At 45.0% G+C, this 17,596-nt stretch overlaps 1 protein-coding gene and 2 non-coding genes across 4 annotated transcripts in view, besides 3 other annotated features; 1 reads left to right on the forward strand and 2 right to left on the reverse strand.

The window, feature by feature from the left end:
* Positions 81 to 707: an enhancer, noted in NCBI's record as "H3K27ac-H3K4me1 hESC enhancer chr12:94954567-94955193 (GRCh37/hg19 assembly coordinates)". NCBI's record gives its function as "activates a minimal SCP1, AML or CMV promoter by ChIP-STARR-seq in naive H9 embryonic stem cells {active_cell/tissue: H9 hESC(naive)}" and the evidence as "EXISTENCE:reporter gene assay evidence [ECO:0000049][PMID:30033119]".
* Positions 507 to 616: an enhancer, noted in NCBI's record as "active region_6786". NCBI's record gives its function as "activates an Ori minimal core promoter by ATAC-STARR-seq in GM12878 lymphoblastoid cells {active_cell/tissue: GM12878}" and the evidence as "EXISTENCE:reporter gene assay evidence [ECO:0000049][PMID:35858748]".
* Positions 1,079 to 1,149, forward strand: MIR5700 (microRNA 5700). Its single transcript, NR_049885.1, has one exon. It is a non-coding gene; the product is annotated as a microRNA 5700 (primary transcript).
* Positions 2,657 to 2,726: an enhancer, noted in NCBI's record as "active region_6787". NCBI's record gives its function as "activates an Ori minimal core promoter by ATAC-STARR-seq in GM12878 lymphoblastoid cells {active_cell/tissue: GM12878}" and the evidence as "EXISTENCE:reporter gene assay evidence [ECO:0000049][PMID:35858748]".
* The window catches only part of TMCC3 (transmembrane and coiled-coil domain family 3), an 83,436-nt gene continuing 72,251 nt past the window's right edge, over positions 6,412 to 17,596 (reverse strand). For both annotated transcript variants that reach the window (NM_020698.4, NM_001301036.2), the window contains exon 4: positions 6,412 to 11,027. In NM_020698.4, the coding sequence (NP_065749.3) occupies positions 10,725 to 11,027 (303 nt within the window). In that variant the 3' untranslated portion in view covers positions 6,412 to 10,724. The remainder of the gene's footprint in view (positions 11,028 to 17,596) is intronic.
* MIR7844 (microRNA 7844) lies at positions 10,521 to 10,642 on the reverse strand. The gene has a single exon (NR_106998.1). It is a non-coding gene; the product is annotated as a microRNA 7844 (primary transcript).

The raw sequence follows: 17,596 nt of genomic DNA on the forward strand, positions 1-17,596 counted from the left end.
GAGGCCTGGAGTGGTATGAAGGAGGGGTGAGCCGAGGGGAGAGCTGAGGCCTGATGAAGTGGGGACCCTAGCCCTCTGCAGAAGGGAAGCTATTCGGCAAGGGGGTGCCAGGGAAGGCAGCGGCTTCCTCAGCACTTGCTGCGGGAAGAAACACTGAAGTCCCAGGCTTCCAGGTAATGCTGTTTTCATCAGCAGAGCCCCGCTGGCCTGAGCTGGAATTCTGACTGAGCAGGTGACATGGGCAAGGGCCGGGGGTGAGGCACAGAGTCTGCTGCGGAAGCATCTGCGGGGTGCAGTAGCCAGTAGAGGCGGCCCCGTGTATGCCTCGGGGCTGGGCGTCCCGCAGAGGGGGTTACTCACTGCTGACTCAGCCCCAGGTGCTCATTTGCATGTTACTCATTTCAAGCCAAAAACACTGGAGCAGGAGTACAGGAGCATCTCATCCCCTTTCCAAACAGAACCACCCCAGGTCTTCCCAGCGCTCCTGCTGCTGTGCCGAGTCTCTCTGACCCAGAAATATTTCTACTTTGGAAGAGTCTACTAAGCTGTGCTGTATAGCTATCTGTGAAATTGAGCTGAAAAATTCAAAGAAACACTCAGAAAATTCATTTTCTCTGTAAGGATATCAAGGTAAGTTTAACATGCCAAGAGCCTGGGCCTTCCCCCTTCCAAATATTATCTTATTTTCACCTGACTTCTCCCCCACCAGAATGTAACCTCCAAGAGGATAGTAACATTGTTTTGTACTCTGTGCCCAGAACAGTGCACGGCATGTAGCAGGTGCTCAATAAATGGATTAAATTCTGTAATCCCAGCACTTTGGGAGGCCGAGGTGGGCAGATCACTTGAGGCCAGGAGTTTGAGACCAGCCTGGCCAACGTGGTGCAACCTCGTCTTTATTAAAAATACAAAAAATTAGCCGGGCATGGTGGTGCCTGCCTGTGGTCCCAGCTACTCAGGAGGCTGAGGCAGGAGAATAGCTTGAACCTGGGAGGCGGAGGTTGCATGAGCAGAGATTGTGCCACTGCACTCCAGCCTGGGCAACAGAGCGAGACTCTGTCTCACATAAATAAACTAATTAATTAATGCATTAAATTATTGAAGGCCCTTGGGCACCCCAGGCCTTCAATAATTTAATGCATTTATTGAGCATCTACGATCTCATCTAACCCCTATAATCCTAGGCAGTTAACAGTTTAGGAAGGGGAGATTCTCAGAGGTGAAACACCACCCCTCCCATCCCCTCATCCTCATTTAATCAAATTGCCAGTAAGGGGAAAGCCCCCGAGTTTCGAGCTGGGCTTCCCACATGTCATGGAGTTCAGAAATGCCTCTATCAGTTTATCAGGTGCTCACTCCTGTGAAACTGATTCATGCTAACGGATTCACTCTGACAAGAATATCCCCGAGAAGAGAAAGCGAATGTAGTGATTTACATTCAAGCATATACAGCTGCCAAGGAGCTGAAACGTTCTGCCCTGTCGGACAGCTCAGTCTGTCCCCAGTAGAAAGAGTTCACTGAGGCTGCCAAGCAGTCGCCAGCTTGGCTTGGAGCCTGCACAGAGTCGATAGCCTCAGGGAGGCCATGAACAAGCTCTGTGAACCAGAAACCCAGAAGACCGAGTGCAGCTGGCCAGGCAGGATCCCCGCCTGCTCTAGGGACACAGCTGCCACTCTCCAGCTCACCCAGAGAGCCAGCCACCGGCCCCCTGCAACCCTCTACCTTCTCTTTTGAGAATGATTGCTTATTGACTGAATGGGTCACCTCCATTCCCTCTCATTCATGGTTTCCATGGACTTTCCTTTTTCTTTTCTTTTTTTTTTTTTTTTTTTGAGACAGAGTCTCACTCTGTTGCCCAGGCTGGAGTGTAGTGGCGTGATCTTGGCTCACTGCAACCTCTTCCTCCCGGGTTCAAGCGATTCCCCCGCCTCAGCCTCTGGAGTAGCTGGGAATACAGGTGCGCGCCACCATGCCCAGTAATTTTTTGTTGTTGTTGTATATTTATTAGAGATGGAGTTTCATCATGTTGGCCAGGCTGGTCTCGAACTCCTGACCTCAAGTGATCCACCCGCCTCGGCCTCCCAAAGTGTTGGGATTACAGGCGTGAGCCACTGTGCCCGGCCTCCATGGATTTTCTTAGTCAATTGTTTGTTGTTGACAAGGCATAGCAGGAAGTCACCTTGCAATTCTGACCATGTTTGGGGACAGCCACCTTTCTGAATCCAAGCATGTCTTTGGGTCTCTGCTTGCTTAAGCCACTGTGTGTGGGGATGTATAAACTTCTACCTGTGGCCTAAGTTTTGGGGTCTTACAGTTCACTGTTCCCGGGAGCTACAAGACCTGGGCATCAAAACACAGAATAAATATGATGAAGGAAGAGAATTCAAAACCACTTTGGGAGGAAACCCCTGGTAGAAGGCTAGGCTAGCACTGTTGCTTGTGACATTGACAGTCCAAGAATCAGAGAAGGATCCAGGCCTCCAAGAGCTTCTTTGGCAAATGGGGTCCCTTACTGCTAGTACAGACCAGAAAGTACATGACTTTATTTTATTTCTACTACTCAGTGGCTTATTTTAAAGCACAACGGGAAAAAAAAAAAAAAGGAAAAGAGAAAAAAAGAAATCCAATTCTCAATGCCTAAGCCAGAGCGGAGTAACCACCAACAAAACAGCTGTTAACATGGCTGACGCATGTTCCTGTTAACTGCTTTAGTCAAGTTAAAGGCCTGGCAAGGGAGAGATTCTGGCTGGCTTAGCAAGGAGAGAGATTTCTGAGGTAGCCACCACAGATGGTAGCAGATGTCACGCAGCCTCAGAGCAGAAGCCACCAGAGACTTCACTGTCTTGGAGCTGAGCAAAAAAGCTGAGAAACACTCAGCCACGTCAACAGCCAATTACACACCTCAAGAATCTCAGGAAGCCAGGGAGTGTGTAAAAGTTTCTATAATTAATTGCTTTCCATTCTCTTTATCCACAAATCTGTCAGCTCATGGCTCTTCAAAAATCAAGGATGCTAGCTTCAGGTATCTCTGCCCTCACCTTGTATGGCCAGCAGCATGAAGATGGAAATGCACAATTTGTAACCACATTATTGATTGCTATAGTCCTAGGATTAAAAGTGATCCCTGACTGACAAGAAGCCAGTTGTTCAATTCCTTCTATTATAGTGTAGGGTAGCGGTCACCCGTAAAGGCTAGAGTCACACAAGCTTGGGGATCCCCCAGTACCTGCTGCCTGATGCTGCTCACTATTTTCCCTCTCTGAACCTCAGTTTCTTCATCTACGAAGCAGAAATAATAGTGCCTGTCTTGTTGGGTGTTGGAATGATTATATTTGATAGTGCAAGTAAAGCACCTGGCACAGTACATTGTACACAGTAAATGTCAAAGAATGCCAGGTATCATCCCAAATCTATGAATGCCCAGAAAGGTGCTGTTTGGTATTGCCATGTTCCTTACATGACCCACAAATTTCTACATCTCATAATCATACCTATTTAGAAAATAACTCTGTATGTGGGGCTGCAGATATTCATAGATTTAATTGCAAATTTTAAAAGGCTATTATTGTTATTAAGACTTTAAGTTACTTTGTCAAATGGTGACTATGGACCTCCTCAAATGTACAAGATAACTTCTTTTTTTTTTAATTCTTTTTTTTTTTTTTTTTTTTTTGAGATGGCAGGGGGGTTCTCACTATGTTGCCTAGGCTGGTCTTGAACTCCTGGGCTCAAGCAATCCTCCCACCTTGGCCTCCCAAAGTGCTGGGATTACAGGCATGAGCCACAGCACCCGGCCCAAAATAATTTCTTACATTAGAAATCCGGTGGGGCATGGCTGCTCATGCCTGTAATCCCAAAACTTTGGGAGGCCAAGGTGGGAGAATCACTTGAGCCCAGGAGTTCAAGACCAGCCTGCACAACAAAGTGAGATCCTGTCTATACAAAAAATAAAATAATTAGCTGGGTATGGTAGCACTCGCCTGTAGTCCCAGCTATTTGGGAGGCTGAGGCGGGAGGATCACTTGAGCCTGGGAGATGAAGGCTGCAATGAGCTATAATGGCACCACTGCACTCCAACCTGGGTAACAAAATGAGACCCTGTCTCAAAAAAGAAAAAATCCATACATTACTCAAAACTGGTAAATACTGCTTTATTCTATAGCACTATGCTTAATGAAGCTTGAAACCAACTAACATAACTTTTCCCCATTTCTTTTTTTTTTTTTTTTTTTTTTTCAGGGAAACACAGAATTGGTAAGGTGTTTTCCCTAATGCAACATTTAGGAATATGCTGGGCTGGACACATATTTCATTCAATCACTTCCATTGTCTGTATTCATCCTCAGACATCAAATGACAAAAGTGTGCAAAATAACAGTTGTTCCCCATAAGATTTCCAAATATTCAGCTATGCTCCATTTTCCAGGGCACAGAATGGGCTACTGTAGTTAAGAATTTTTCTATCATCTGAGAGTTCTAGTTAGTCTGTCTGTACAGGGTGAGTGACCAAAGTAGAAAACTGGTCAGGACATGAAGTGAAGAGGGCTAAAAAGGCAAGATGAGAAAAACAGAGTCGTGAATTCTTCACCAGCCAAGACCTCACGAAAGGCTCGTGTGTCTGGGCTTCCATCCCACCCGCTGATAGAGGCAGTCCCCTCTCAGCCGCGGCGCTGCTTCTGTGGTTTCAGTTACCCGCAGCCCACCAAGATCCAAATATAGCAAATGAAAAATTCCAGAAATAGGCCGGGCGCAGTGGCTCATGCCTGTAATCCCAGCACTTTGGGAGGCCAAGTCGGGTGGATCACCTGAGGTCAGGAGTTCAAGAGCAGCCTGGACAACATGGTGAAACCCCGTCTCTACTAAAAATACAAAAACTAGCCAGACGGAGAGGTGCATGCCAGTAATCCCAGCTACTTGGGAGGCTGAGGCAGGGGAACCGCTTGAACCCGGGACGCGGAGTTTGTAGTGAGCTGAAATCGCACCACTGCACTCCAGCCTGGGTGACAGAGTTGTCTCAAAAAAAAAAGAAAAGAAAAGAAAGGAAAAATTCCAGAAATAAACAATTGGTAAGTTTTCAACTGTGCGCCATTCTGATCTGGCAGTATCCTGTACTGTCGCAACTGGGACCTGAATCCTCCCTTTGTCCAGTGTATTTATACTGTAGACCAAGCTTGTCCAACCCACAGCCCATGGGATGCATGCGGCCCAGGACGGCTCTGAATGCAGCCCAATGCAAATTTGTAAACTTTCTTAACACATTATGAGGTTTTTTGTGATTTTGTTTTAGCTTATCAGCTGTCGTGTTAGTGTATTTTATGCGTGGCCCAAGACAATTCTTCTTCCAATATGGCCCCGGGAAGCCAAAGAATTGGACACCCCTGTAGACGCTTCCCGACTGTGAGTCACTTAGCAGCTGTCTTGGTTATAAGATCAACTGCTTCTGCTCAAGTAATTTTTATTTTACTTTACTACAGTACATGGTCATAATCACTCTATTTTATTATTAGTCATTAATCTCTTACTGTGCCTCATTTATAAACTTTATCATATGTATGTATAAGAAAAATGGTGTATACAGGGCTCAGTTCTATCTGAGGTTTCAGGCATCCCCTGAGGATAAAGGGGGAATATTGTAGGAATAGCGTTGGTATCTGTACTACTGGACTGGTTCATAGGAGTTCACACACTGTGAAATCAAGTGCATTGTAGACACCAAAGCCCCAGACAAACTGGAGACAGTGCACTAAACCGACTGCTGGAGTCAGGCGTCTGCTCCCTCCTGTGCTGCTGCCCTGTGCCCCCCCCGGATTGGCATTGCCCTTGGTGTCTCATTCCAGCTTATGAAGGCTGTGCTTTGTCCTCGCCATCACTTCCCCTTTTTCAACACAAGGACATGTTTGCTAGCATCTTAGCATGACTGTGAATAAACTACTCTTCCTTCTGCCGGGGCTCAAGCAATGGGCCACACATCACCAACTTCCTACGATATATAGAAGACTTGAGATTCATTTAAAAATTGACTACAGCGGGAGAGGAGGATGAATAGATGGAGCACAGGGGATTTTTAGGGAAGGGCAACTATTCTGTGTGATACTGTAATGGGGGATACATGTAGTCATACATTTGTCCAAACCCACAGAATGACAACACCATGAACCCTAAACTATGAACTTTGGATAATGATGTGTGTCAATGCAGGTTTATCAACTGTAACAAGTGCACCATTCTGGTGGGAAATATCGCTAATGTGGAGGGGAAGCTATGCCTGTCTAGGGGCAGGGGTTATAAGGGAAATCTCTGTACCTTCTGCTCAATTTTGCTGTGAACCTGAAAGTGCCCTAAAAAATAAAATCTATTAAAAAAATTGGTCACACACACACATTTGCTACTGAGATGGGCTCCAACAAATGTGAAAATTTAAGAAATCTACCTCTTTATTTAACACCAAAGCTAACATCAAGTGTTTATTTAAAAAAATAATGGCACCTGCTTTGGATTCATTGATGACACCACAATGGGGTGAAGATCTACAGGGAATTTACAATTTTAGGCTGACATGAAACTAAGTAGTAACTCACAAAATGGAAATTCTGCAACAAGCCTCACAATAAACATTTCCAGTTTCTACTTTCAGAGTTGCTAACTACTGCCTAAACATATCTTAAACACAGAGCACGTTTTGTTGAAATATTTCTCTTAGGACAAACACAGTAGACATGCTTTAAATAAATTAAAATTGCAACACATAAATCATTCCTAAAACAATCAAGGTGCATTACTTTCTAGCTTCTTATAAATTAAACTGTACTGATTTCAGGAAACTATAGGTTAGTTCTGTTTCATATCTTTTTTTTTTAGCATCTTATCTAGTTTTGATGTGAATAAGCCAATTTCATTCTTTGCAGTGATTTATCTTTTTAAACCAACTCGTTCCTTTGTGCATGTGCTAACCTTAAAACACCTCTTCATATAAGCCCTGAATTTTAAGTGGTGCCATTTCTTCCTACCCCCAGCCCACTCCTCAGAATTACAGAAATATGTAAAATAGGTTGTTTAATCACACATGTTCATATGAATAAATATATTTAAATGTTTTTCCAAACCAATACAACTATATCTGGATTCACTGCAAAAACATTCCCATTCAATGCAAAATAATTTGGTACAATCCGACCAAAAAAGACAAAAGTAATTAGTTGCCTGAGGGAAGCTAGTTCCTCATTATTACTGAGCCCATAATTAAACCTGATATGCTAGAGAAATGGCAAGGCAATAAACACAGAGTGGGGCAATATTTAAATGAAAACAAGAGTGACAGAGCTGGAAAGAGCGAAAACCACATGAATGCTAATTGACAGAGAAGGATAACAGCCTCACCGGCTGAAATGAAAGACGGAGTTTCGGAAGATTTCCTTCTGTGAATAGCTGACAAGGATCACGCAGGCAAAAATGCTACCGTTCCAAGCTACAAACTTGGGACTAATCCCATGTTCATTGTCCAAACCCAGCAACGGAGTACTTTTTTGCTGTTTCATTATGGATTTCCATTTTTTTTTTTTTTTTTTGGCAGTTGGGGGTGGGGTGTTCTGGTTTAATCATATTCAGAGTTTGAGCTTGAAATAACCAACTCAAGACCCACAGGAGACTATGTCACCAGATAAACCCAGTGCTAGAATCCAATGTCCAGCATCTTCAACCACTCAGGAGTGTTTGCTGAGAGACCAGGTGGTGCTTACCCACCCAACAAGCACTTTCCATCTTTGGGTTTGCCCAAGATGTTTACCATAAATGAAAGGGGTGGGGAAAGGATTATAGTTGACACAAACATAAATTAAATATCCAATTCCAGCATATGTTACAGCTACATCACTATTTTTAATTGTAATATTTCTAAAATGTCATTTAATCTCCTTACACATTGAAGAGAACAAACAGTGGGAGTGTTTATTCCTTAAGAGAGAATAAACTGCAGAGATTAAAAGTTTCCTTCGAGTGTATCATCTTATTAAAAAGTACAAAGTTTCATGAACTTTCAACAAGACTGCAAAATAAATATGCCAGGTAGGTTGAGCCTATCCAAGTGAAAACAAGGTTATTTGACATTTAGTGAGAGTCAATGAAAATATGAATTATTTCAAAGGAATTCATGATCCAGGTAGGAGGATTTAGATCCTACGGTATGTTAGAATAAAGCTAGTTTCTAGCAGATTCTGTTAACAGCTCCAGACTAGAGGGGACGGAGTGTGCTGCTTTCCATTCTCTTCTCTACTTCTGTCACTGGGGAGAAGATACACGGATCACAGGTCTGAGAAGTGTGCATTAAAGCACATTTGCTAGGCTGAGCACTGGAATGGTGTGGGCTGGTGTGAAAATGAAGCCTACGTCTTCTTGGACCCTCCCAGAGCCCTTCACCTCAAGGGTTAGACATCTCTCCTTCTCTAAACTAACAGCAGCACTCAATCCCTGGTGTGTCCGAAGTGGTGCTTGGAAAGATTCACAGATACCAAGAGGGGCCCACCCAGGCCCCAGCTTGATTTAGGAGTGTAAGTTACACTCAGCACTCAGCCCACGCTGAGTCTGATGCCCACAGGTAAAGGGTAATGCTGGCCATCGAAATACAAAAGCTAAAGGAAGCACAACATTCTCTCTGCCTCCCTGCCTTGCACCTGGCCTCCTTATCTGTCTCCCAGACTTGAAAGATCAGTGTATACACATCAACGCGGTAGACCAGGGGGAGTCTGACAATGAAAGGAGAGACAGCCATGAGATCAGGGTGGGACTGGTAAGGGAGCTCTTCTCTGAATCCAAAATACTTTATCACCAAAGATTTCATGAAATGACATTTATTGTTTAAAAAAGCGTGAGTCTGGAATTAGATAGTGGTGATGGTTGAACAAGTTTGTGAATTTACTAAAACCACTCAATTGTACGCTTAAAAAAAAAAGCAAGCTTGAGCTGCCTAAGTCCCGCTCACACACACTGGACTTGTACTAAATGCTCAACGATTCCATTCTCTCAGACTATGGAACATTCTGTCACATTTTTTTCCTTCAGGAGATTTCCCTAAGAAGAGCTGTTTGCAAAATATTGCACTTAATTTGAATCCAGGGGGACCTGATGTCTCCTGGAAGAAAACGTACACTCACATGCCTTCCTGCCTGCAGCAGATGGCGGGAGTGGTGGGACAAGGGGCTCAACAGCAGTTTCCATGAACATTGTTTCCATCTTCCTCTTTGTTATACACACAGAGACACAGATTTAAAGGAAAGTATCATCTGGGCTGAAGGCGGTGAATGGTATCCCCCAAACAGGGATGTGAACTTTTGAATGTTTTCAGCTCAGAGGCAGTATGGTCGTCCTAATACCTCAGGACTTATGTTCAGTGAGATGTTAAGAGACAGGTGGCAACCTTGGCTCAAACACTGGACTTAATTTATTTTATTCTTGCTAGTCTTTCACTTCTCAAAGACGATGCTCTCAATCTTCATCCAGGTGAACTGCTCCCACTAATCTAGCCACCATTCAGTCACACCCTACGTCCTCGTTTCCTCATGCTTTCAGCGTTCCGACACCTCAGTGCACTTGAACTTTAGAGGCTATGGTTCGGTTGTCCTTCAAGGAAAAAACTGCAACATGACCATCATTTGTTTTCATTTCCTGAGTAAGCTTTGCAGTCCCTCACAGACCTGTGAATAAGATGAATCACATAAAGTGAATCATATCCTCCAGGGGGGCTTATCACAATCAAGATTTGCCAAAAAACAGCCAGGCATGGTGGCTTGTGCCTGCAGTCCCGGCTGCTTGGGAGGCTGAGGTGGGAGGATCCCTTGAAGCAAGGAGTTTGCAACCAGCCTGAGCAATATTTAGCAGAGCCCTGTCTCAAAAAAGAAAAAAGATTTGCCAAAACACAAACCTTCAGAGTAGTGCTCACAGGATTCCAAATTAATGTTAAAGTCACAGTCTGATGAGGGATTTGAAAACATTCCTGCACACTCTGAAGGCTGGGCATTTGCTAGCCAGTTGAGACAAAATCAGGTGTTGGTTGCCTGGGTATGAGAAGGTGAAAGCCCCATTCATAAATCCCTATGCCTTCCCATTTAAAGTGTAACAAAACCCCTCAGGTAGACTTGTTGGATAACAGGTGTGTGATAAGATTTCCACGTTACAGGGTCATACACGACTGACTGCTGTGGACACTGAGTACATGACGGGACCTATGGTCCCCTGGAGAGAAGCAGGGTGGATCACACGGGGACCATAGGCCACAGTGTTTAACACTGCCCAAGCCTGTGATTCTTCATTCCCTGAATCATGCATATCCTTGCTTTTTATAGGACTCACAGAAAACAACCATTAGCAATTGTGAAGCTCAATTCTGACAGAGACTTAGGAGAGAGACCTCTTTCTTCAGGATCACCAATTATGCCAAGGTCTCAATATACAGAGGTTTACCACGCTGGGCTGGTCAGGTGGGCAGGAAATCGGTCTGATTAAGGCAGTGAGCAAGGTAGGAGAGCTCTGAAACAGATTCGTGTTAACGAAGTACAAGGACTGAGTTGGCAACTGCTACGGAGTTAAGAGAATTGTAGTTATTTACACCACACAGTCCTAGTTTTTCTTACACACGAGTCCGCACAATCATTCACTGTAAAATTTGGTAGTATGCACAGAGTTTTCTTTAAAATAAAAACTTGAAAGAACTTGAAGGCAGGAACCAGTGGCTTCATCTTGGTATTATCATCCTTTCTATGGCACACAGGATATGGTCCCAGTTTTTACAAAATATAGCAAGAAGAGTCACGGCAAAGAAGGTGCCAAGAATGTGGCAGCGACTCTTCATCATGGGTGAGACGAACTTCGCGATGGTGGACACACACACTAAGATGACAGTCATGAAGGCCAGGATCACGTTGATGCACCTCCCCAGGAGAACTTTAGCATTCACGGTGTCTGTCTGCAGAGCTTGCTGCTCTTGCTGGTGGAGCTCCAGCTTAGAAATGCGAGTCTGGCAGGATTCCAAGGCTTCCTGTGAGCAAGAGGGAGAGCAAGGGTCAAACGGTGTTGGGATGGTGAGCAACACGTGAGTGCTCGCTCAGCTGTACACAAAAGCCCCAGCTCAGAAAGCCCAATGCCCAGGCGGCTGCAAATCCCCAAACCGATGATGATGGTGATAGACAAAGATGTGGAACAAGAATCCCAGGCTCATTTTCTCCTGTTGTTCACGAGTAGAAGAGCATGTGGATACAACCACAAAATACCATAAATGAGGAAGTATGGCTAAGTTTTTTGACTTTACCTGTTTTTTTTGAGATGTAGTCTTGCTCTGTCGCCAGGCTGGAGTGCAGTGGTGCGATCTCAGCTCACTGCAACCTCCGCCTCCTGGGTTCAAGCAACTCTCCTGCCTCAGCCCCCCAAGTAGCTGGGACTACAGGTGCGCACCACCATGTCTGGCTAATTTTTGTATTTTTAGTAGAGATGGGGTTTCGCCATATTGGCAAGGAAGGTCTCGATCTCCTGACCTCGTGATCGGCCCACCTCGGCCTCCCAGAATGCTGGGATTATAGGTGTGAGCCACCATGCCCAGCCGACTTCATCTTTTTTTTTTTTTTTTTTTTTTGAGACAGAGTTTCACTCTGTCACCCAGGCTGGAGTGCAGTGGCGTGATCTCGGCTCACTGCAACCTCTGCCTTCTGGGTTTAAGCAATTCTCCTGCCTCAGCCTCCTGAGTAGCTGGGATTACAGGTGCACGCCACCACGCTTGGCTAATTTTTGTATTTTTAGTAGAGACAGGGTTTTACCATGTTGGCCAGGCTGGTCTCAAACTCCTGACCTCAAGTGATCTGCCTGCCATGGCCTCCCACAGTGGTGGAATTACAGGCGTGAGCCACCATGCCCAGCCTGACTTTACCTATTTTTGAAATAAAGTGATATAAAATATTGGTGCCTGTTGGTGCCATCAGGGACAAAGCAGAGAAGGAGGGAGGTTCCACTTTGTGACTACTCCACCTTTCAGCCAAGGAGTGTGTGGGATCTCCAATGGTCAGTCCTTATTTCCACCGCTCAAAGATTTTTGTCCATCAGTTAGAGATTGGCGGAGGAAGGCGAGAGAAGGGAGGGGAAGGGACTGGGGCTGACTGTGGGGCAACTGTGCTTTCACCTGCTCTCTGAACGCGGTGTTACTCAGGACACCATCCGAGGCTATCTCCCTGGATCTCGTCCATGCCAAGTCTTCAATTACTAAGACACAGATGGCTACAAGTGTATCTCTAGGCCAGTTCTTCTTCTGAGATTGACTCACAGATCTCCATGCCTCTTTGACATCTCCATCAGAGCTTCCTGAAAGCACCTCAAATGCAACACGTACAAATGTGGCTTCATGTATTGCAGCTACCCAACACCTGCAGTCAACCCTCTTCCCTTCCAGTGTCCTTCTTCTCAGAGTACAGCACCATGATCCACCCAGTTCCTCATACCAGAAGCCTAACGGGCATACCCTGATACCCTTCTCATCCAACCCGTCGCCCAGCCACGGAGGCAACATCCAGTTTCTAGCTCAATTGGTCCGGTTCTCTCTCCACCCGGTCAGCACCCCAATCTAAGTCACCGGGATCTCCTGCCTGCAATAACCTTACACGAATTTCCCTATACACTCTTTTGTTCCCCACCCTTACGAATCCATTTTCCACACAGCCACCCAAGCGGTCTTTTAAGGATGCATATTTGGTATCACTCCTTTTCATAAAACCTTTACAATCTTTAATATGGCCTTCTGAGGCCTTGCAAGGCCAGGTTCAGCTCCCTCTCCTCCCTCACTTAATGACTTCATGCCAGCCGCTTGCCCTGTCACAGTACTCTGGCCTTTTCTAAGTTCTTTTTTTCTTTTAAGAGACAGGGTCTCACTCTGTTGCCCAGGCTAGGGTGCAATGGCACAGTCAGAGCTCACTTCAACCTCAACCTCTGGTCTCCTGCCTCCATTCCTCCTGAATGACTGGAATTACAAGTGCGAGCCACCACACACAGCTTTATTCTAAGTTCTGAAAAGGAGCACAGACTCACCTCAGGGCTTCTGCATATTCAGTACACTCTGCCTGAGACATGTGCCTCCCCCACTCCATCCCTTCTTCACCCGTGGATCTCCCACTCATTTTTTAGGTCTCGCCTTGATTGCCACATCCCTGGGGAAGCCTTTCCTGATCCATGAGATGAGATCAAGTCTCCCTTCAGCTCTCCTCCCCAACCACAAGACATACGCTGCCTGAGGACAGGAACTAGCCCATCTTGCATTTGCTGTCCTCTCCAGCACAGAGCCAGCGCCAGGCATGCAGCACGTGCCACACACTGGCTGAATATGAAAGAGACAGCTAGGTGCCAGTAAGAGAATGTGAGGCTTGATGGGTACAGTGGCGCATGCCTGTAATCCCAGCATTCTGGGAGGCCGAGGCGGGTGGATCACTTGAGATCAGGAGTTCAAGACCAGCCTGGCCAATATGGTGAAACCCCCTCTTTACTAAAAAAAAAATACAAAAATTAGCTGGGCATGGTGGCATGCACCTGTAATACCAGCTACTCAGGAGGTTGAGGCAGGAGAATCACTTGAACCCAGGAGGCGGAGGTTGCAGTGAGCCGAGATCACGCCACTACACTCCAGCCCAGGCAACACAGTAAGACGGTCTCAAAAAACAAAAAAAAAAAACAGAATGTGAGGCTTGAGAGAGAAACCTTCAGGCCTGCTGGGTGAAAAGGATCTAACTAGAGGTAGTACAATGTGCCCCTCTCTGTTCTAACTCATTTGCCCATCTGTGTTTGCTCAATTAAAATATAGTCACCTTTTCAGGTTTTAAACAAGAATAATGGCTCCAAGATTGATTTGCTTTTCTTCTGCTGAATAACTCTATGGGCCAAAGAACAGGTTCTCTGTTACTATAGTAACTTCTATTATACTAGGCTACCAACGAAAAGGATAAAACTTCTTCAGATCTTACATTCTAGAAAGTGCTGGCTTTCAGCAATAACAGGCATGTACTAGAAATCATGTGTTCTTTTCAACTACTTGGGTCCAAGGTTTCCTCTATTTTAGGCATAACACAGAAAAGGTGATGGAACAAGACAAAAGACCAACCTTTTAGGAAAATCCATGAATCTTTGATTATAAAATGAATTACGTGTACAAATAGACCGATCTTAGAATTGTCTTACAACTGCTGTCAATTTTTTTTAACCAAAAGAAAAATCCAAGAAAATTAAGGGTGAATTCCAAGGAATTTGAGTCACAGCAGCCAGAGTATTCAGCCCCACAATTTTTGGTACTTCCTTGGGTCCAGTAATTAACTTATTGGGGATGATGACCATAAAAAGGGGTTATCTTGAAACATTTCTAACTGGGAATTCAGGGTTTAAAAAACCACTCAGTTGTTTAAAACAACAAAACCCTGACATCCCTGCAGGCAACAGCCTCCCTGTCTCTGGCAGCCCATTCCCTTTGTGTAACCGTGCCTGTAAGAACAAAACAAATAAGAAAAAATGATGAAGTCAAAAGGCCCAACTGCTAGAAGCCCTGAGGATTGTGGCTACTCCCGGATGTAATAAAAAGAATGGACAGTATTTATTTTTTGACTGTTTACTATGTGCCAGGCAAAGATTTCAATACTTTACATGATTATTCCATTTAATCTTCCTTGACAACCTTTTGAGGTAGAGCTCATTAATATTTCCATTTTATTAAGGAGGAAACTGAGGCACAGAGCACTAACTCATCCAGGGTCACACAGCATAGGTGAGGAGGGCCAGGATTCTAACCAACGTGACAGGGAAGACACTCCAGTCATTCACACAGATGTCCTCTTTACACTTCTGAGTGAGAGATGAAACCAGAAAACGTCGAAATGAACCTCTCTGGATTTTTAAGTTCCCTTTGTGTGGTCCCTCCTTCACCACTAAAATATGTTTGTTAAAACACAGAAGAACAATATTAACCCAAACTATCCCCTAAATAAGAAAACCATGCATTCAGATACCACCCAGTGACACCCGAAACATGCTCTAAAATAGAACGACTTCGTGAAGCAATTGTACTGTTCACTTGGCAACATTTTTATTTGTTTTTTGGAGACAAGGTCTTGCTCTGTCGCCCAGACTGGAGTGCAGTGGTGTGATCACAGCTCACTGCAGCCACAAACTCCTCCCTCGTCGGCCTCTCAAGTAGCTAAGTTTATAGGCATGCCACCATGTCCAGCTATAATAATTAAAAAAAAAATTTTTTTCTAATTATGTTGGCCAGGATGGTCTTGAACTCCTGGCTTCAGATGATCCTTCTACCTCAGCCTCCCAAAGTGCTGCGATTATAGGCATGAGCCACTGCACTCGGCCCACTTGGCAACAATTAACGTTTAAATGGGTTCAAGTTTCTCGAATAAGCCAGTGGTGAAGCAAAGTCTCTTAATCCAGAACAGGGCCAGAAACCTCCCAAGTGTCTTTTGAGATGCGGTCTCTGGGGGCAGAATTTCCCATCAGCTCTGATGTGTTGGTTCCCAGAACTGTCCCAAGTAGGCATCTGGGATTAGCACAGGCTCAGCCCTCAGCAGAGTGGAATAAAAACGTGGCCAGTTGAAACTCCAGGTCACACATTGCAGGATAAAGCACTATCTTTATGTTTAATTTTCTCCCTTGTAAAGTGGGGCTTGGACTTACAGCCTTCAGCCTTCCTAGAGCTGGAGAAAATGACTACTGTCCACAGAGAAAATTCATAAAAATGAAGCTGGGCATTGCTTGAAGAGTACTTTTTTAAGAGACACAGGGCCTCACTCTGTCACCCCCCAGGCTGGAGTGCATTGGCACAATCACTGTAACCTTGAACTCCTGGGCTCAAGCCATCCTCCTACCTCAGACTCCTGAGTTTCTGGGACTACAGGTACACACTGCCACACCCAGCTAATTTAAAAAAAAGTTGTTTTTAGAGATAGAGGGGTCTCACTATGTTGCCCAGGCTGGTCTCAAACTCCTGGCTTCAAGTGATCCTCCTGCCTCAACCTACCAAAGTGCTGGGATTACAGGTGTGAGCCACCAGCCCTGGGCAATTTTTTTTTAAAGGCAATCAAGGAGCCTGGGGTTGTTTCACTACGTGCTAGGATCACATTAGGAAATACTGGAGCACAACTTTGTTTATATTGATCCCATTATCCTTTCCTTCCATCCACCCAGATCCTACCCATTCCTTCCAGTCCCGCCTTCTCTAGGACATTCAATTACATTCCTTCCTTAAGAATGACTTGCAAGACCTTGTTTAGGCCACTTAACCTCTCTGTGCCTCGGTCTCCATATCTGAGAAGTGGGGATAATAACAGAAACTACCTTAAAGTGTTGCTGAGAAGTAAATGGGAAAAAAAGAAACCTGTGAAGTGTTTTGCTAGTATTGAGCACACAGTATGTATCGAAGTGCTTTAATTTCTTACAAATACGAATGCTATTATTAATTAATTAATTAATTTATTCATTTTTTGAGACAGACTCTCACTGTGTCGTCCAGGCTGGAGTGCAATGGCGCGATCTCGGCTCATTGCAACCTCTGCCTCCCGGATTCAAGCAATTCTCCCGCCTCAGCCTCCCGAGTAGCTGGGACTACAGGTGTGTGCCATCACGCCTGGCTAATTTTTTGTATTTTTAGTAGAGACGGGGTTTCACCTTGTTAGCCAGGATGGTCTCAATCTCCTGACCTCGTGACCCAACCGCCTTGGCCTCCCAAAGTGCTGTGAGCCACCGCGCCTGGCCATGTGAATGCTATTATTTTACAGATGAGTGAATAGGCTCAAGTCTTACTCAGGGCCACACAACTGATATGACAGACGTGGGACTGAACGTGGAAATGTTTTGCTACTACATGACTGACTGCTCCCATGGTCCACAGCTTGCTAGACACCACATGGCTAAATTTCTGTGGCTCACAGAGTCCGTGTCGTGTAAATTGGCCAATGTTTGTGCTGTCTTGAGTTCTTTGGCAGTTGCGCTATCCCACACTCTCCACCTAGGCAGTGAGCTGCTTGAAGCCAGAGATTGTCTCCTATTTTTACATTTTACAGTTTTGGTGGTGATGGGCTTGAGGTGGATAATAAATACTTGTTCATTGATTTAGGCATAAAGTATAAAGAATATTGTCTCTTAGCCAGGCACGGTGGCTCACACCTGTAATCCCAGCACTTTGGGAGGCTAAGGTGGGCAGATCACTTGAGGTCAGGAGTTTGAGACCAGCCTGGCCAACATGGTGAAACCCCGTCTCTACTAAAAATACAAAAAAATTAGCCAGGCATGGTGGCATGTGCCTATAGCCCCAGCTACTCAGGAGGCTGAGGCAGAAGAATCGTTTGAACTCGGGAGGCAGAGGTCGCAGTGAGCTGAGATCACCCACTGCACTCCAGCCTGGGCCACAGAGCGAGACTCACCTCAAAAAAAAAAAAAAAAAAAAAAGAAAAAGAAAAAGAAAAAAAAAAGAATATTGTCTTTTTACTTAGTAATGTCTATAACATGAACTAGTGGGGTTAACGTGGTACAGATAAAATGTTTGTGCAGAGAAAACATTTTGTGCCATGTGCCAGAAACCCTCTA

Source organism: Homo sapiens, chromosome 12, assembly GCF_000001405.40.
Source record: "Homo sapiens chromosome 12, GRCh38.p14 Primary Assembly".
Classification (NCBI taxonomy): Eukaryota; Metazoa; Chordata; class Mammalia; order Primates; family Hominidae; genus Homo; species Homo sapiens.